This window comes from Homo sapiens, chromosome 16 (genome assembly GCF_000001405.40).
Source record: "Homo sapiens chromosome 16, GRCh38.p14 Primary Assembly".
Taxonomy (NCBI): domain Eukaryota; kingdom Metazoa; phylum Chordata; class Mammalia; order Primates; family Hominidae; genus Homo; species Homo sapiens.
This window is the reverse complement of record NC_000016.10, coordinates 68,464,211-68,484,349: the sequence shown is the minus strand read 5'-3', so window position 1 is coordinate 68,484,349 and position 20,139 is coordinate 68,464,211. Positions and strand designations below refer to the sequence as shown.

Below are 20,139 nucleotides of genomic sequence, written 5' to 3'. Positions count from 1 at the left end.
TCAGTTCACTGCAACCTCGACCTCCCAGGTTCAAACAATTCTCATGCCTCAGCCTCCTGAGTAGCTGGGATTACAGGCACATGCCACCATGCCCGGCTTTGTATTTTTAGTAGAGACAGGGTTTCACCATATTGCTCAGGCTGGTCTCGAACTCCTGGCCTCAAGTGATCCACCCACCTCGGCCTCCCAAAATGCCAGGATTACAGTCGTGAGCCACCGCGCCCAGCCAAGAACCTCAGTATTAATGATCTTGTGGGCCAGTGTGATAAATGTCAAAACTCAGGGCCTGTCCCCAGTGGGGAATCTATCAGGAGGCTCTCCTAGTTTAAGCTGGCACCCTAACAGGTCTCCCTACCTTGGGAATGCAAGAGAAGAGGGGAGGAGTTGTCACTGAGATGTAACCACAAGCTGGCCATCACTTAGATTGGCGGCCCAAGTTCACGTCATTTGCGTGATTCATAAAACCTCTGCTCATGAATTTAAAGTACCCTTGGGGCCGGGTGTGGTGGTTCATGCCTGTAATCCCAACACTTTGGGAGGCCAAGGTGGGCAGATCATTTGAGGCCAGAAGTTCAAGACCAGCCCGGCCAACATGGTGAAACTCCGTCTTTACCAAAAATATAAAAATTAGTCGGGCGTGATGGCATGTGTCTGTAATCCCAGCTACTCAGGAGGCTGAGGTAGAAGAATAGTTTGAACCCAGGAGGCAGAGGCTGCAGTGAGCTGAGATTGTGCCACTGCACTGCAGCCTGGGCAACAGAGCAAGACCCTGTCTCAAAAAAAAAACATAAAATAAAATAAAATAAAAAAATAAAGTACCCCTGGACTGCTAATGCCCCTGTCACCTGGCAGAGGGACCCATCAATCCTCTCTGGAGAGAGGCATATTCATCCTAGGCCTCAAGAAGTACCCACCAATAAGTTTTCAAATATACTCAGTGGTATATAAGCCCCAAATAAGCCAGCTACACAAGGAAACACTGAGAATCAGCAGAAACAACAGACAGCAGACATAGACCTACAACAACTTCAGATCATGGAATTATCCAGCATCAATTAAAAAACATACTTAACATGTGTAACAAAATAAAAGACAAGCTTGAAAATACCTGTAGGGAGTAGGAAACTATAAAGAGTGACCTAACAGATTTGAGAAGGAAGCAAATTTTCAGCAGACTTGAGAAAGGGGTATATTTTTCAGAGGTGAAAAATATATCATAAATGAAATTTTAAAATGCAGTGGAAGAGAGTTTGTGAGCTGGCAGATGGTTTAGAAAAAAGCAGTGGAGGCCAGGTGTGGTGGCTCATGCCTGTAATCCCAGCACTTTGGGAGCACAAGGTAGGCAGACCACTTGAGGTCAGGAGTTTGAGACCAGCCTGGCCAACGTGGTAAAACTCTGTCTCCACTAAAAATACAAAAACTAGCTGGGTGTGGTGGCGGGCACCTGTAATCCTAGCTACTTGGGAGGCTGAGGCAGGAGAATGACTTGAACCTGGGAGGTGGAGGTTGCAGTGAGCTGAGACCGCACCGCTGCATTCCAGCCTGGGAGACAGAGACTTTGTCTCAAAAAAAAAAAAAAAAAAAAATTAGCCAGGCGTGGTGGTGTGGGCTTGTAATCCCAGCTACTAGGGAGGCTGAGGCATGAGAATCACTTGAACCTGGGAGGCAGAGGTTGCAGTGAACCAAGATCACGCCACTGCACTCCAGCCTGGGCAACAGAGCAAGACTCTGTCTCAAAAAGAAAAAAGCAATGGAAAACAGCACAGAGAGACCAAAAGACAAAATATATGGAAGAAAAGTTAAGAGACGTGGAAGAGATCAGCCTATGATTAGTGGGAGTTTTAGGAGGAAAGGAGAGGGAGAATGGAGAGAGGCAATATGTGAAGAGATATTGGCTGAGAATTTTTCCAGAATTGATAAGACACACCATTCATAGATATTAAGAATCCTAAGGAATTCCTAGCAGGATTTTTAAAAAAGAAGAAAAGAAAGAAATACATATTTAAATGTGTATCGTAAATTGCAGAATACACACACATCACTCACATATGAGAGAGAGAGAGAGAGAAAACCAGAGGGAAAATGTCAGTATACCTTAGACTAACAGCTGATTTGTCAACCTCCACATAGAAAGGTAGGGAGGGATGACCTGACACCCTAGAATTCTTTATCCAGTGAAAATATCTTCCACAAATGAGCACCAAACAAACACATTGTCAGAAAAACAAAAACTGAGAATTTATAATTAGGGAACTCTTATTAAATGATATTCTAAAGGATGTACATTAGGTGGAAGGGAAGTGATCCCAGATGGAAGATCTAGGACGCAAGAAGGTGTGAGGAGCTACGAAACTGGTAAATACGTGGGTAGAGCTAGGCAAACGTGGACTATATAATATAATAATCATTCTAAGGTTTTCTGAAGTTACAACAAAACAAGAGAGAATGAAAGTACACAGAGTCAAGACGGGGGGGAAACAGTTAAAATGCTTTAAGGTCTTGCATTACTGAAGAGGAAGGTAAAGTGATTGAGTAACTTTAGACTTTGATAAGTATGCATGTGGTAATTTCCAGGGCAGCCACTAAAAAAAAAAAAAAAAGAAAAAGAAACACCATGTATAACTTTCAATTTGTAGAGGAGAAAAAAGATAATAAAAAAAATAATGCAAAAGAAAAATAAACAAGAAAAAGAGAGAAAAATGGCACAAAATAGGATAGTGGATTCAGGATCACATAGTTCGTGTGTGACAGAGCTGGGCCTTGTTCCCTGTTCCATGGAGCTTTGGAAAGTTGTCCCCTACCCCTAGAGTACCCCAACTGTCTCGTACCCCTAGAGTACCCCAATTATCTCCTGACACAGCCCTCAGCACTACTTGTCTACTGTACCTGTCCAAGCACCGCCAGGCTTCACACCCACCCCTTCCTCTGCTCCCCCCACGATGCTGGGATCCCTGAGGCCAGAGACTCAGACTACGGCAGGGGCTTATCCTGGGGAATGAGCTAATGGCTATGTGTGGCCCTCTTAAGTGTCTGTACTTCTGTCACAGTCACCTGGGTTTTGCCTAACCCTGTCTTGAAGTTCGATACTTGTCAGTACTGTTGACCCACATCCCCTTTCCTCTTTACCCCAGTTCTGCTGGTGCCTGGGTTCTGAACTTTTAAGCTCTCACCTGGGCCTTTGCAACAGCCTCACACCTGGTCTTCCTGACACCACCTGACTCTTCTGATCCACCCTTTAAGGCTGCTGAGGCATTGCTGCTATTTGGCTCAGATATGATCCATCCTATGAGAAGGCCAACAGAGTCTGAACAGACAACATTAACAATGATTATCTGTTGGGCACTTACTGTATGCAGGCACCTACTGTGCACATCACAGGCAGTATCTTCACTTACTCCTTACAGCTACCCCTTGAGTTGGTTTTACTGATGAGGAAACTGAGGCTTTGGGAGAGGAACAAACTTGCCCAAGGTTGTCCATATATGAAGCAGCAAAGCTAGATCTGCATGTCTGACTCAGAGAGGTCATGCCCATAAAGCATTAAGCTGGCTTTCAAGGATGTTGATAAATTGGTCCCAAGCCAATATCTTAGCCTCACCATCCCTATATTCACCTGTATTAGGCAACACAGGCCATTTGTTGTCCCCTGAGCATGCCCTGGTTGATCCCTACTCCCTACCTTTGCTCACACACATTCCTCCTCCTGAAATTTCCTTCTCTCATCTCTACCCTTCCAGAAGTCTTGTCCTAAATGTCTCCTCCCCAGGGAAGATCTCCTTCCTTTAGTGATTGTCAGAGCCTTGCATCACACTCAAGCGTGTTCATGTGTCACCTTCTCTAGTGGGCAGCAAGTTAACTGGGAGCCAAGACCAAGCCTGGTTCATTCTCAGCTCCTCAGAAGTGCCCCGTACTGTGCATGGCATGCATGTTTTCTGAATTCTTTCAATCCAGTTCACGCAGACAGGCAGAAGCTGCACACAAACAGATCCTTTCCTGAGCAGCACAGCTTGGAGGATGTGGCATGTTTTATGGAGCTTGGCACATGGGGCATTTGTGCATGTGCTGTGTAATCATCCCAGCCACATACCCTTTCTGCCTATGGTGCAATGGAGACATTCTCGTGGGCAGAGGTGCTCCCAGGAGGTGTAAGCTCTGAGCTCAGGACCTCTTTTCGGTGGATGTTCTTATTTCTCTTACCTTCAGAAATGAACGCCAGCTTTATTAACCCCAAGCCTCCATCCCTGACAGGGGCATGCATCTCACTATCAGTGTTCCTCCCAGAACTTATAGGAAAACTGTAAACTGCAGCTTGCAAACCTCCCACCTTCTCCTGCCAAAACTTGGACCTGGGCAAATCACACTGAAACCATCCATACTGGCCGGGCGCAGTGGCTCACACCTGTAATCCCGGCACTTTGGGAGGTCAAGGCGGGTGGATTGTCTGAGCTCAGGAGTTCAAGATCAGCCTGGGCAACATGGCAAAATCCTATCTGTACTAAAAATACAAAAAATTAGCCAGGCGTGGTGGTGCTCACCGGTAGTCTCAGCTACTTGGGAGGCTGAGGCATGAGAATCACTTGAACCCGGGAGGCAGAGGTTGCAGTAAGCCAAGATCACGTCACTGCACTCCAGCCTGGGTGACAGAGCAAGACTCTGTCTCAAAAACAACAACAACAACAACAACAATCCATATAGATTTGGGCGGTGTGGAGGATGCCAGATGCAGAGGAGATATGATGGAATGAGGAAGAGTCAGACCTGTCTGTGCCCAGGAGGAGTTTACAATTTAAGTGGGAAGATAAGACACATGGGAAAGCTATGCAGAGGGAAATGAGATGATGCTTAATTACCAGTTTCAGGCCACAGGTGAAGAGGTTTTGCAAGACTGAGCCTTGGAGACAGGCTTAGCACATGGAAGGGTGGCCAAGCCTGAGGAGTGACAGGGCAGGAAACAGGCCTGCCCACCTCACAGAAATTGGGATCCAAGCTGAGTCTTGGTCCCCTGAGAGGAAGGGCATTCGTGCATGCAGAGCTGAGGGCTAGGAGAAGGGTATGCACCTGGTAAAGGGTGTGGGTGTCCACCCTGGCTGGGTGGACAGAGGCCTGAATGAAAAGGCTGGGAAAAAGGTTGGAAATTGGCCAGGTTGAGCAACTTGGGTCCTGAAGGGGTCAGCAAGACATTGTGGAGGGCCTGCTGCAGGCAGAACTGAAGGAAGGTACATCCGCAGCCTTTACTTCCTCTCCTCCACAGCCTTGGTGCTGTGAACTGACACCCAAACCCTCCAGGAGCACTTCCTTTCTAGACCCAACAAAGGGCAGAAGAAAAAAATAAAGCCTGGATCCATTTGAAAAGGGGCCAACCAGCCCCTCCCAAACCCAGTTCTTTGACTTGCACCCAAGACTTAAATACATCCTTTGAAACTCCTCATCCATTGAAGTTCCTTTCCTTTGAAACCATAAAAGAATGTGGGGCTGCATTTTGCCTTGGTGGTAGGAAAATTCCACATGCAACTTGCAGCATTTACAGAGTGGAGACTTCTGGCCTGGGAGCAGGAGGTCTGAGCCCAGGCCTTTCCACAACAGTGACAGCCAGGGAGGGGCCTGGCAGTGCAGCCCAGAGGTCGAGGCATGTTCTGGAGTCAGGTCCTCTGTGATAAGCCAGTTGAGTGACCTTAAGCAGGCCACTGGATCTTGTGAAACCCCAGTTTTCTCACTCCTAAAATGAAGATAACATCTGCTCTCACTCTGGAAGGCTGCATACCTTTTGTGCACAGGGTTCTCTGCATGTGCCAATAAGGTATCAGGCCAGTTGACATCTGGTTAGTTTTCTCTCCCTGTGGCAACTTCCATATCCCTTGGCTGTTACTGCTGCAGATGAATATATGGGATGGCAAATTGTCACCAGAAATAAACAGCCGTCAAGAGTAGAATGGCCTCAAAGGTATGCCATCTAGTCTTTGCCTCTGTGACCAATACCAAATGAAGCTCCATGACATCCAGAGCAGGGTGAGAAGGGTCTCTGTCCCCACCAAGTGCTTGAGTGTACAGCAGGAGGTCAGAGGCTGAAGAATACATTATAGGAGACATCAGAGACTGGAATAGATGGCAGCTTCATGAAGAGGTGGAGACAGAGGTGTAGTGGGGAGAGGGCAGAATACTAACTCAGAGCACCAGGAATCTTAAAAGAAAATGGCTGAACCTAGACCCTTACCTCACACCATAGACAACAATTAACTCAAAATGAATCACGGACCTAAATGTAAGAACTAAATCTATAAAACAACCAGAAGCAAACATAGGAGAAATTCTTTGTGGCCTTGGATTTGGCAAAGATTTCCTAACTAGTACACAAAAAGCACAAGCTGTAAAGATAATCAATACAATCTTCATCAATATTTAAAACTTTTGTGGGCCGGGTACAGTGGCTCATGCCTGTAATCCCAGCATTTTGGGTGGCTGAGTGGGTGGATCACTTGAGGTCAGGAGTTCAAGACCAACCTGGCCAACATGGTGAAACCCTGTCTCCACTAAAAATACAAAAATTAGCTGGGCGTGGTGGCAGGCATATGTAATCTCAGCTACTCGGGAAGCTGAGGCACAAGAATTAAGTGAACTCTGGAGCTGAGATCATGCCACTGCACTCCAGCCTGGGCAACAGAGTACGACTCCATCTCAAAAAAAATAAAAATATCTTCCCGCCATCTTGGATCCTGTGGAGGCCTGCTGGGAACAGGACTTCTAAAAGAAAATATGTCTGGAAATATGTCTAAAAGAAAATAGGCTGTGGTCAAAGGCCATTTTTGCTGGGTATAAGCGGAGTCTCCAGAACCAAAGGGAGCACACAGCTCTTCTTAAAATTGAAGGTGATTATGCCTAAGATGAAACAGAATTATATTTGGGCAAGAGATGCACTTATGTATACAAAGCAAAGAACAACACAGTGACTCCTGGCTGCAAACAAAACAAAACCAGAGCAATCTGGGGAAAGGTAACTCAGGCCCATGGAAACAGTGGCATGTTTCGTGCCAAGTTCCAAAGGAATCTTCCTGCTAAGGCAGGAAGCCTGTCATGGGGACACAGAATCTGAGTGATGCTGTACCCCTCAAGGATTTAAACTAATGAAAAGTCAATAAATATACATGGATTTGTGCTTCTGTAAAAAAATAAATAAAATAAAAATAAAAAAGATTTAAAACTTTTGTGCTTCAAAATGCGCTGCTACAAAAATGAAGAAGTATGGGCCAAGTGCAGTAGCTCACACCTGTAGTCCCAGCACTTTGGGAGGCCGAGGTGGGTGGATCACTTGAGGTCAGGAGTTCAAGGCCAGCCTGGCCAACATGGTGAAACCCCATCTCTACCAAAAATACAAAAATTAGCCAGGTGTGGTGGTGAGCACCTGTAATCCCAGCTACTTGGGAGGCTGAGGCACGAGAATCACTTGAACCCAGAGGCAGAGGTTGCAGTGAGCTGAGATGGTGCCACTGCACTCCAGCCTGGGTGACAGAGGGAAACTGTCCCAAAATACAAAAACAAAACCAATAAAAAGGGTAAAAAATTTGAAGAGACACTTCACCAAACAAGATGTTTGGATGGCAAGTAAGCATATGAAAAGATGCTCAACATCATTGGTCATTAGAGAAGCACAAATTAAAATTACAATGAGATACTACTACACACTCACTAGAATGGCTTAAATTAAAAAGACTGACCATACCTAGTGTTGACAAGGATATAGAGCAGCTGCAACTCTCATAAACAGCTGGTGTGGATAGAAAATGGTTCAACCACTTTGGAAAACAGTTGGCAGTTTCTTTAAAAGTTGAACATATGGCTGGGCACAGTGGCTCACGCCTGTAATCCCAGCATTTTGGGAGGCCGAAGCGGGTGGATCACAAGGTCAGGAGATCGAGACCATCCTGGCTAACACGGTGAAACCCCGTCTCTACTAAAAATACAAAAATTAGCCAGGCGTGGTGGCAGGCGCCTATAGTCCCAGCTACTCAGAAAGCTGAGGCAGGAGAATGACGTGAACCCAGGAGGTGGAGCTTGCAGTGAGCTGAGATCGCGCCACTGCACTCCAGCCTGGGCGACAGAGCAAGACTCCGTCTCAAAAAAAAAAAGTTGAACATACGACAGTCATTCAATTTGTGGGCACTTTGCCAAGAGAAATAAAAGCATATATTCACACAAACACTTGTATGTGAACAGTCATAGCAACTTTATTCGTAATAGCCCCCAAACTAGAAAGAACTCAAAGTCCATTGACGAATGGATAAACAAATTGTAGTATATTCATATAATGGAATACTACTCAGCAATAGAAAGGAACAAACTGTTTATACAATGACGTAGATGAGCCTTAAAACAATGACACTGAGTGAAAGAAGACAGACCCAAAAAAGTGCACATACTGTATGATTCTACATGTGTACAATTCTAGAATATGTGAACTAATCCATAGTCACTGACAGCAGGTCAGTGGTTGACTGGGAGTGGGGCAGGAGGGCAGCAAGGGGGGATTTCCATGGGTACAAGGCAATGAGTGATGGAGATGGTCATTGTTGATTGTGGTGGTGGTTTCACAGGGGCAGACGTATGTCAAAAATCCATCAAAGTGTGCAGTTTACTGTATATCAATTATGCTCAATAAAGCTGTGCAAAAGAAGGAGGAGGGGAGGGAGGCAGCAGCTCTTGGCCCTAGGGGGACAACCAGTCACTCCTCAACTCTTCCAAGTATGGGTATGGGGTTTGTCTATAGAATCTATGAATTCACTCTCCTATGCTACCCAGGGGTTCTTTACCAACTCAGCTGCACCTCCCCAACTTGTCCCAGGTTCTTTGAGAGCAGGGACTATGCCTTCTGTATCAAGTCTCTCCTGTTGAGAAAGCGGATGGTGGCAATGATGAGGCAGCTTCCGTGGGTAGTAGGAGAAGGGCTGGTCTATCACTAGGACCAGGGCTGATCACACCTGGATCTTGGGGGAGTCCACCCAACTGTGGGGCAATAACACCACTGTCATTTCTGCCTTGTTTGTGGAATGCATGGTGACTCACTCCAGGAAGACTCCCAACATTGCTGAGGAACAGGATAAGGCAGAGGTGAGATGGTGAGCCACACTTGGCTCTGAAGGAACTGAACCCCCAGGGCTCACCCTTCAGGTTGGGGCTGTTGGACAAGACGAACCTTATGTAACCTACAGAGAACCATTTACTTCTGGAGCGAGGAAGCCAATGCTGTGTGCAAGGTGGTCTTCTGAGCCTGCTGAACCTAGATTCCAATCTTTACCACACTGACCTGATTGAAGTCTCTGTGATCTGTGGTCACAATCATTCTGGCTGAGGCACCCCAAGGCTGACAACCTTGCTAAGCCAAAGCTGGAGCTCTCTCCCTTCTAGAAGCCAGGCCAGAATTCTGCGTGGCCACCAAGCCTTGACTTTCTGAAGCCAAACACTTGATTCAACACGATGAAGCTCATTTCTGTTGCATTCAAGCACCATGAGGGCCTTCAGTAGTGATGGTTCCCATAGATTTGTGTAAACCAAAGTATGGACTAGGCTACACATGCAGTCCTTCACTTTGATGCTGGTCCTACCAACATCTATGATCTGCCCTCACCCCTGTGGATTTTCCTTGATAGCATTAGTCTTACTAAAGAAAAGCTTGATTCAAAAATCCAACCACATGGGCTGGTTCGAAGGTAGTGTGTTATTTCAGTTGATTGCTCACTGTCAGTTACAGGTTGAACTCCTTGTTCTACTCTGTCCCCCTTCTTGCCACTGCACTTGACTAGTTTAAAAAAATATCCAATCACAAAATGGACATATGTGTTGGGTTATATGACAATTATATGGCAAAGGAATAAGTCATTTGATGAATAAGTGTCCTGGGTGTTCCTTTAAATCAGACACTGGAGCAAGGCACAGTGGCTTAGGTCTGTAATCCCAGCACTTTGGGAGGCTGAGGCAGCTGTATCACCTGAGGTCAAGAGTTTGAGACAAGCCCGGCCAATATGGTGAAACCCCGACTCTACTAAAAATACAAAAATTAGCTGGGTGTGGTAGCAGCACCTGTAATCCCAGCTACTCAGGAGGCTGAGGCGGGAGAATTGCTTGAACCTGGGAGGCGGAGGGTACAATGAGCCAAGATGGTGCCACTGCACTCCAGCCTGGGTGAAAGAATGAGACTCCATCTCAAAAAATAATTAATTAATTAATCACACAGTCTCTCATGGGCATTCACAAAATAATCTGCTTTGTGGAAACTGCCTGCAGGGGGATTTTCAAATGTGCCTGGGAAGTAAGGTGATACGTCTAGCGAGAGCCTTCCTTTCCTCTGGGCCCTGCTAGGGCTCCATTTCCTCAGGAAATTCCCCTGACTTTGAAAGGGGCCAAACTGCAGAGGGAGGAGAAGGGTATGTGTGGCGGAGAGTCTGCACTTCCTCTCTAGGCCATTCTCGGTGCCCTGCTGACCTCCATTGACTCCACAGACCTTGCCCTGCTCTCAAGCCTGGCACAGTGGCTCTGTAGACTTTGAGCTCACCTCCCATGCTCCCAGGCACTCCTAACCAAGCTCAGCTCCTCAAATGGTGGGAAAGGTCTGCTGTTTAGATCTCTCATCCACTAGACATCAGGTGACACCACTTGGCCAAGTAATCTGGCAAATCCTGCTGATGCATTTTAATTGAAACCATGTGCCCAGAATGGCCACCCCAGTGAGCAAGGCAAAATAAAGTGGCCTCTCTCCAGGATGAGCACCTACACAGGGCACAGCACATTGCCACAGCACGTGTCTCCCTAGTACAAGTGCACTTGTATCTTAACAGAAGAGCTCTCATGGCCACTGCACGTGGGGACACAAGGGTGTGAAAATGAGCAGGGCACTAAGGCCAACTGCAGAGTCAGACGGAGGAGGACACAGGCATCTGAGATCTAAGACCTATCCTTGGAGCCCTGAGGCAAGCCATGCATCCCACACTGGTATGTGCATCTAAGTGGCACTGGGTGGAGGGGAGTCAAGGCTCTGACCCTGAGACCACCCACCTCCTTGATGGGAGCTCAGGCCCCTATCCAGATAGTTACGGTGTGCCCACTAAGTGCTGACACTGCAGACTCAGTGGTAAACAAGGACAAGCCTTTGCCCTCAAGTTTTCACAGCCTCATCTCTGTGGCATCAGCCCTGAAATATCATGAAGCAAGAACAGGGCTGGCCAGATTGGGTGCCAAAAGTGGCCCAGGTAGAACTGCAGAACTCCATCTCTTAGTGAAGGGAGAGAGAACTCAGGATAGGACAGGGCAGAGCCAGACATTCTCAACTGAAACCGCTGAGACCTTGGTCAAAACTAAACAGGGGCATGTGTGTGAATTCTGGCCGGGATCAGAAAACAGCCAAGGCTGGCCAAGCTTCAAGAGGGCCTGAACCAAGTCGCAGGTCACATCAGAGCTTCTTCTAAAAGGGCAGCTCCTACAGCAGCCTGGCGTCAGAGGTGCAGCAGCCTGGGCTAGGAGCAAAGGCTGGGCTTGCAGGGAAGAGCAAGAGTGCACAAGTGAGTGGAGAGGTTCAGAAGGTGGCCTGAGAGGTGGCAGAGGAGGAGCAACCCTAGTGGACATAGAGGTGACAGCAAAGGATGGGGCCATGCTGTGCATCACAGCCCAGGGGGCAGACCCTAGTCAGGACTGTGGCTCCACGCTACCTTCCCACAAGTCCCCATCTGAGATGCTCGGAAGCCAGAGCCCCTCAGCTGCTCCAGCTGGCCTCTGGTTCCTGCTTTTCACTCACCACCTCCCTCCTAGCCACCCTTCATAGGCTTCAGTCTTCTTGGCCATGTCACCTGTGTCCAGGCTGTGGACCCTACATCAGGGTTGGGCTTCCTTGGTTTGGCTCTGGGGTAGCCCCATGTCCAGCTGTCTTTCCCATCTTCTGTCTATTGGGGTCCTAACTGACCCAACTCTGGCCCCACCCCACACCTACCTGACAAAGTATGAGGTTCGCTGGTGGTTCCTGATAAGGCTTTCCATGATCCCACTTTTTAAATTATTATTTTTATTACTATTTTTGAGACAAAGTCTCGCTCTATCCCCCAGGCTGGAGTGTAGTGGCGTGATCTTGGCTCACTGCAACCTCCGCCTCCTGGGTTCAAGCGATTATCCCACCTCAGCCTCCCAAGTAGCTGGGACTACAGGCGTGCACCTCTACTAATTTTTTTATTTTTAGTAGAGACAGGGTTTTGCTATGTTGCCCAGACTGGTCTCGAACTCCTGAGCTCAAGTGATCCACCTGCCTCAGCCTCCCAAAGTGCTAGGATTACAGGTGTGAGCCACTGCGCCTGGCTGTATTATTACTATTTGAGACAGGGCCTCACTCTGTGTGATCATAGCTCACTACACCCTCTACCTCCTGGGCTCAAGCAATCCTCCCACCTCAGCTTCCCTAAGTGCTGGGATTACAGGTGAGAGCCATTGCTCTCGAGCCTCGACCCCATTTGATGTAGGATGGTCCAGACAGGAACAAGGAGTATGTGGCTCTAGAGAAGAGGGCAAAATGCAGGAAATCAGAAGGTTGACACTTCGGTGAGAAACCAGGGACCACTCAGGAGCTGGGTCTGGAGGTGCCCCAGGTCTACTGGGCAGGCACGAGCTGGAAGCAGGTTTGGCTCCAGGTTCAAGAGACAGAGTTCTGAGGGCAATTAAGGCTGGGGCTGGGGAGCCTCCTGGAGACCCCAGGAGCTGAATGAGAGATGTTGAGAGTGTCTAAGCGAGGTTGAGGCCAGGAATCTGAGAGACTGAAGGGAACTAGGCAAGTGGCTGGGGACAACTGTCAAATTTGGCATCTTCCTTACCTGGGCTCACTGTCTTCCTGTCCCTCAGCATCTCACAAATGCTGCTGATCCCTGAAGGGTCGGGGCCAAGCAAGCCAGAGAGGTGGGAGAGGCTGGCAGGGGGAAGAGCCACAGTGACTGTGGGAGCTCGCCTTTTACCCTGGCTGGACAGGATCATCCCCAGGGCATGTCAGCCCTAGGGTCTTCAGAAAGTCCCTTAGCTCCTACAGGCCACAAAGACACAGTAGTAAGTCTTGTTCTAAGGAATTTCAGGTGAATTTCTCCCACCTATTCACCCCAAATCTAGAACAAAGTTGGGGTGAGACATAAGACACATACTCAAGATCCCAAGATCTCAAATATCAATGAGTTAATTTAGTTTGGGGACACATATAATCAATTCCCAAGGAAAACATGGCTCCAAGGCTCCTAACAAATGGGAATGATGCCAAGATACCAACATCCAGCAGTCCTACAAGTGGCATCTACAACCATTTGCAGCTGCATGGCCCATGCTGACTGGAGCAAAGGCTGCCAGAAGCCCAGTGCGGGAACCACACTCTGCCACACAGTCTGCTGTGGGGTCCTGGGCAGATCACTTCTCCCCGGCCTCGGGGTTCCTGATCAGCAGAACACTTGCAGCTCTTGTCAGGCTGCATGGGGGAGCCTCACCCACTGAACACGGCTCACTCCCCCAGGGCTGAGCTCTGGGGAGAGGCTGTCAGGGCCATTCACCTTCTTCCACCAGATAAACTGAACTTCCCCTAAAGCTCTGTAGCTGGGGGAGCCTCAGCCATCACAGAGCACTCAGGGACTGCCTCCGAAAGCTGCCAATTCTCTCCATGTGACCAAGTGGAGTGACCAAGGACAACCGAAAGGAGAACAGAGAAAGGAGAACCAGACTAGAGGCATACATGCCCCCACAGAACATGCAGCTTCCTCCCCCAGACCGCAAGGCTCAGCAGCCCCCGATTCCCTGCTGTTCTCGAGTGGGACAGAGTGGTGTAAGCTGGACGGGCCCTGCAGCTGCTCCCCTTTGTGGCGATGGCCAAATGACTACCCTGCCCTGCACCTCAGTTTCCCCACCTGCCAAGTGGCATGGTTGTGAAGATCAAATAAGAACGTGTATTAAACAAAGGTCACATAACACACACCCCACGAGTGTAACTTCCCTCCGGCTTCCCTTCTGACCACACCATCACTCCACCTCCAAGCAGGGCCAACAACCGCTCTGTCACTCTCAGTTTATCAAAACACAAATTAGAAGTCTGTCTCCCCAGGCTGTCAGATGAAATGGTTAAGGACTGTAAACACGTGTAGCTGCATTTCGAATAACAAAAACGTGGTTGTTCCGTGTTGCTTCCTTTACAATCTATTATTTTTTTCTGGCAAACGCTACCACTAACTGCACAGAACGCAGCATTTTGGAAAGTTTTAGTGGCTAGGAATAGCAAAAAAAAAAAAAAAAAACCTATGTCAGCCCCAATTACTTTAAAAGATGAAGAAAAGAAAAAGAAAACAAAACTGAAACCAAATTTATTTTTAGAAATGCCGTTCTTTGGGCAAATATTGATTTTAAAACAGCAAGAATATTTACACACACACTAAACAGGATTTCTCTTACAAAATCTTTAGCTGCTGAATCTCAGGAAATCCTGGAGTTATTTTCAAGTTTTCCATTCTGACACAAAGCCAATTTCAGTTCACTTTAAGAAGAGATTGCCTTCTACTCATATAAAACAATATGAAATTGATTTTTCTACTCTCAATAATATTTGTTGAGAAAATAGTCTTATAGTTTTAAAAACAAATCTGGAAATATTTCAAAAGTAGCTTCACACTGTTTCTTAATATGACATTATTATTTTGATTGGAGTATAGTTTCATTAGTCAAAAATCACCTTTATTTTTACTGGTGATTATCAGGCTCACTTCATGTTTCACTACATTACACAAGGAGCCACACAATGGATCAGCCAAACAGCTTTAGCTGGCTTCATCTGTAGTGGGATTTCTGTACTTTTCCATCAAATCGTTTTAAACATTATTTTGGTACCTGAAGCCTTAGTGACATGACTGTAACCATCATGAACAAAAATATTATTACACTACAGAAACATAGAGAACAATTACGTTAAATGGCTGAGGCCACTGAGGAGAAAGGGACAAATACAAACTCCAAATAGACAAAAAACAATTATTTGGGGATCTTTTTGCAGAAACCATGACACCTGTGCCAGTGAAACTCAATACACATGCACCAGGGCCTCCAGCGAATCCAGGCTATGACAAAAGCGAGGGGGTCTTGGGCACTGGGTCTGAGGAGTGAATCAGGCAGCTGCACAGGGCCCTGAGCTTGAAGTTTAATGCTCTGCAGTCACCATCTCGAAATCCTTAATAATTCTATCATTGAGTTTGTGTTTTCTAAGTGATATCTTATGGGACAACACCTAGCAACCTGGGAGCAAAGAAAAGGAAGTAGGTATCTGAATTGAGGCAGGCGTGGCTTCTGCCTTTTCCTTTGGTTAGAAATATGTTGTATGCTGGTAGGAATGTACAGCCTTTAGCAGCAACTTGGCATTAATTAGTAAAATTCACGTGCCAGGAGCTGGGAGCCTCCATTCACTTGAGGTCCTACCTCCCTCCACCTCTCCACCTCCCTGGGACAAGTTCTGGGCCACCTGCCCCTCCACCCAGTGACTGCACCCATCCTGGCATGGGTCTGGGTGCAGGTATGGAAAGGATCAGGGTTGGGCATCTGTGTCAAGTAATGCTGCTCAGCCTTCCTGCCCATCAGCTTCCCTCTGTGAGCTTTTTAGTGAGAGGAGGTGTGAATGTGACCAGTGGCTGCTCAGCAGAGGGCAGAGCCTCAGGCACTGAGAGGGTCTGCACTTGAGCTGTAAGGATCTCTTGTGCCCGAGGAAGAGCAACATTAAATAGCAAATAAAAAAACACCATTACAAGTAGAGAGAGAGACTGGGAGAAAAGGAAAAAGCTTTTTCCTGCTTTGTGAACAAGGGGCGCTACATTTTCATTTGCACTGGGTTCCACAAATTATGTAGCTGGCCCTTGGAAGCAGGCACTTAGAGAGAAAGTGCCAATCCTGGAAAAGGTAGAAATAGCCTCACTGTAGGGTATGGGGACTTCTCCCAGCAGCGCTCAAGCAAGAAGGCTGATAAATAGCACTGAGGGCCCAGGTGAGGGTGGAACCAGTCACGGGGGTCTGGTATCATGTCCACATAGTCATGTGGAGGGTTCAACCATCACCTAGTAACCTGGTAGCAAAGAAAAGGAAGTAAGTATCTGAATTGAGGCAGGCGGGGCTTGTGCCTTTTCTTTTGGCTAGAATGTTGGGGACAATGTTGCATGTCAGTAGGAATGTACAGCCTTTGGGAGCAACTTGGCATTAACTAGTAAAATTCAAGATGCACATAGACCCTGGAGAAATCCCTGCATGTGTGCATGAGGAGACCAGCATGAGAGTGTTACGGCAGCAGTATGGGAAATATCTCAAAACTGGAAACAATCTTAATGTTCATCAAGAGAATGGAGATGGGAGCATATCCATGCAGCAGGAAACCATACAGCTGTGAAGACAAATCAATCAGAGCTCCATGTGTCAGCACGGAAGACTCTGGAATGTAACATGGAGCAGCCCTGTGGGCATCCAGCCTTTACAGGCCACAGTTCTGTGTCCCCCAAGTTGGCTGAGTCTTGGAGCAGGGAAAGGCCTGGTCTCCTGTGGAGTAATGTGGGAATCACCTACAAGACCTACCTACATCCAATCCACCAAGGGCCCAATGCCTGAGTTTCCACCATTAGAAATCTGTTCCCCTGGGTCAAGGCTATGTGCTCTGCAGGCAATCAGAGAGACAAGTGGTTTCATTCTGCAGAGCTCTGCTGAGCAGCTATGGGTAACACTCATACCTCCTCTCACTAAAAAGCTCACGGAAGGAAGCTGATGGGCAGGAAGGCTGAGCAGCAGGGTCGGGGCTAAATTCAAAGCACAGTGGTATTTAAGGATGGGTCCGATGACAAGAGGTCAGAGGAGGCAGCTGGAAAGCATCAGGAAACAGAAATGCCAATGAAATTACAAGAATTTTAAGAAGGAGTTGCAGAAACTGGTCAAATATCAGGAGGTAGGTCAATTCAGGTGAAGATAAAAAATATGTCATTTAATAATCCAACAAGAAGTCACTGGTAACCTTAGTGGGGACAATTTCAGTAGACTGATGGGGGTGGAATCCAGACTTGGTGGGTAGTAAAAGAAGCTGAGGAAATACAGGCACAAAGTTCGGGCTCCTTTCAAGAAGTTTGTGAGGGGCAGGGTGGGAACTCTAAGGAGAGAGAAGGTGAAGGTTTTCTAGAATGAGAAAGAATTATGCTTGTGGGGTGAAGGAAAGGAACCACACAAGGGAAGGATTAGAGAATCAGAGAAAGAGGGTAATTTATTGAACTGAATCCTGGAGGAGGCCAGAGAGTGTGGGAGGGGAGGGAGAGCTTAGGGGAAGACTGGTGTTGGAAATACCATGTGGATCCTGTTAGAAGCAAAGAAGAGAAGAGCAGTGAACCTGATGTGCTTCACTCTCCGAGGGAGGGAGATGTTAAGGTCATCGGAGACAGAGATAGGAGTGGGGTGAACAATTGGAGGAGTTGGACACACAGGAAACAGCCATCATGGGGGAATGGAATTAGAGTCTATCCAGGTGTAAATAAAAGGACCAGCAAAGAGCTGGCTGAGTTGGAAACCATGTCTCTGTACTGGTGTTAATTTTCTTCTGTCCCAGTAGAATTTGACAGCCCTGAAGCCCTGCAGAGAAGCTAGAAGGCTGGATTATTCCTTGCTGGGGTAGGCAGGGAAGGTACAGCTGGACATGGGGCTTATGGCCCCTGAGAGCTCTGGTTAGACAACAGCAGCTCGGGGACAGCTGGGGTTGACAAACAAAAGAGACTTTGCCAGTTTTCTTTTCTAACAGAGATCACTATCTGTTATAACTTTAAAAACATTAAATAGAAAAGCGTTTAGAATGGCTGGAGTTGATGTTTTCAACATTGAAGTAGCAACCTGCACCCCACCTTGCTCTGAGTCACTGACCAGGGTCAAGTGCCTTCTATGGGCACATGGCCTTGCCAATATTCAGCTCTTGGCATCGGGTCTGCCCTGCAAACCCAGAGGTCAGTCATAGCGGGATGAGATTCTTCTCTTTACTTCCACCCCAGCCCCTGCAGGCAACTTCTGCTGCAGGTGCTTAAGAAGAAAAGTTTATAAGTTCCTCAAATGTGGCATTTGGGTTAACCTATTGACCTGCTGAAAAAACTGACTGGATTGAAAACTATTATGTCCAGCCACCGCTTTGTTGTTATTGTTGTTGTTGAGATGGAGACTGGCTCTGTTACCCAGACTGGAGTGCAGTGGCGTGATCTCGGCTCACTGCAGCCTCTGCCTCCTGGGTTCAAGCAATTCTCCTGTCTCAGCCTCCCAAGTAGCTGGGAGTACAGGCGCCTGCCACCATACCCGGCTAATTTTGTATTTTTAGTAAAGATGGGGTTTCACCATATTGGCCAGGCTGGTCTCAAACTCCTGACCTCAGGTGATCCACTCACCTCGGCCTCCCAAACTACTGGGATTACAGGTGTGAGCCACCGCGCCCGGCCTCACCACTGCTTTTTGAATAGGGAACATACTGCTGGACACCAGCAGTTTTCTAACCCTGGTAAACATCACTAAGGAATTTTGTCAGTTTTTCAGAATTTTATTTATGGGTCTATTTTTAGTTTGTGTGTTTTATAACTTTTAAGTCATTTTTAGCCAATTATTTCTGCTTGGCACTGTTTATACTTATAAAAAGAATTATTTAAATATCCAATGATAGGATCTGTTCATAGTTCCCTTTATTTTTTTCTTATTAGAAAAGCAGAATTTTGGCCAGGTGCGGTGGCTCATACCTACAATCTCAGCACTTTGGGAGCTTTAGGCAGGAGGATCTCTTGAAGCCAGGAGTTTGAGACCAGCCTGGGCAACATAGTGAGATCCTGTCTCTACAAAATATTTTAAAGTTAGCCAGGCATGGTGGTGCATGCCTGTAGTCCCAGCTACTCAGGAGGCTGAGGTGAGAGGATTGTTTGAGCCCAGGAGATTGAAGCTGCACTGAGCCATGCTCATGCCGCTGCACTCCAGCCTGGGTGACAGTGAGACCCTGTCTCTAAAAAAAAGAAAAGGAAAGAACTGTGTATTCATGACAAAAAAATTAAAAAGCAGAGAAGCAGCCAGGCACAGTGGCTCATGCCTGCAACCCCAGCATTTTGAGAGGCTGAGACAGGTGGATCACTTGAGGTCAGGAATTCAAGATCAGCCTGGCCAACATGGTGAAACCCAGTCTCTACCAAAAATACGAAAAATTAGCTGGGTGTGGTGGTGGGTGCCTGTAATCACAGCTACTTGGGAGGCTGAGGCAGGAGAATCGCTTGAACCCGGGAGGCAAAGGTTGCAGTGAGCCGAGATCGTGCCACTGCACTCCAGCCTGGGCGACAGAGCAAGACTCCATCTCAAAAGAAAAAAAAAAAAACACTGAGAAACACATCTTCTAGCTCCTTTGCTAAGCCTGTATATAATGAGTTCACACCATATTTACTTTTTGCAACCATTTATAATTGCTTTAAGGAATCCAGCTCCCCAGGGCTCAAGTTCCCCCTACCCACCCACCTGCTCTGTCCCTAAGAAAGGGGTGTTGGAAGCGATAGTTGAGGGTGCTGTGAGGATAGCATAAGACAGAGACAGATATCGTGGGCTCCCTTTGGAAGGTGAAGTGGCCACATCTGCTTCAGGAACTGCAATGCTGTCACTGAATAACCATGCTAACAACCACTCCTGGACATCTGTGAATAATCTGGAACCTTATAATTTTGTGTTTTCGGAGAGTTTGACAAAGCCATGGTGGCTCCCTCAACCAGGGTCACTCAACTTATGGCTGAGTGGAGCTAGTGAAACTTGAACTTGAACCATAAACAGAGGAGGAGCAAAGTTTGAAAGATAAAACAAGCAAAAATATCAACAACCATCCTAAATGGTTGTTATCCTGTAAAAACATGGTAAGGCCATCCCTTTCCTTACGGAGCATGCCAAGGTGCCCCCAGCAGTAACAGTGTGGGTATCCAGCTGCCCCTGAAGATTCTGGGACAAGAACTGGACAAAGGTCAGTGAAGAACATCTAAACCAGCAGCTGCTCAGCCCACAGGGCTGCACCATGAGTGGGCAGCAGTGAGGAAGGACAGAACCAAGGTGGGCATAGTTGTGGCACTGCAGATTGGGGTCAAATCAGCAGAC

General features: G+C 47.3%; 1 pseudogene, besides 4 other annotated features; it reads left to right on the top strand.

The window, feature by feature from the left end:
• On the top strand, nucleotides 6,691-7,158 carry RPL35AP33 (ribosomal protein L35a pseudogene 33; annotated as a pseudogene).
• Nucleotides 13,127-13,626: an enhancer, noted in NCBI's record as "H3K4me1 hESC enhancer chr16:68504627-68505126 (GRCh37/hg19 assembly coordinates)". NCBI's record gives its function as "activates a minimal SCP1, AML or CMV promoter by ChIP-STARR-seq in primed H9 embryonic stem cells {active_cell/tissue: H9 hESC(primed)}" and the evidence as "EXISTENCE:reporter gene assay evidence [ECO:0000049][PMID:30033119]".
• Nucleotides 13,127-13,847: a biological region, named in NCBI's record as "H3K4me1 hESC enhancer GRCh37_chr16:68504627-68505126".
• Nucleotides 13,338-13,467: an enhancer, noted in NCBI's record as "active region_11018". NCBI's record gives its function as "activates an Ori minimal core promoter by ATAC-STARR-seq in GM12878 lymphoblastoid cells {active_cell/tissue: GM12878}" and the evidence as "EXISTENCE:reporter gene assay evidence [ECO:0000049][PMID:35858748]".
• Nucleotides 13,558-13,847: an enhancer, noted in NCBI's record as "active region_11017". NCBI's record gives its function as "activates an Ori minimal core promoter by ATAC-STARR-seq in GM12878 lymphoblastoid cells {active_cell/tissue: GM12878}" and the evidence as "EXISTENCE:reporter gene assay evidence [ECO:0000049][PMID:35858748]".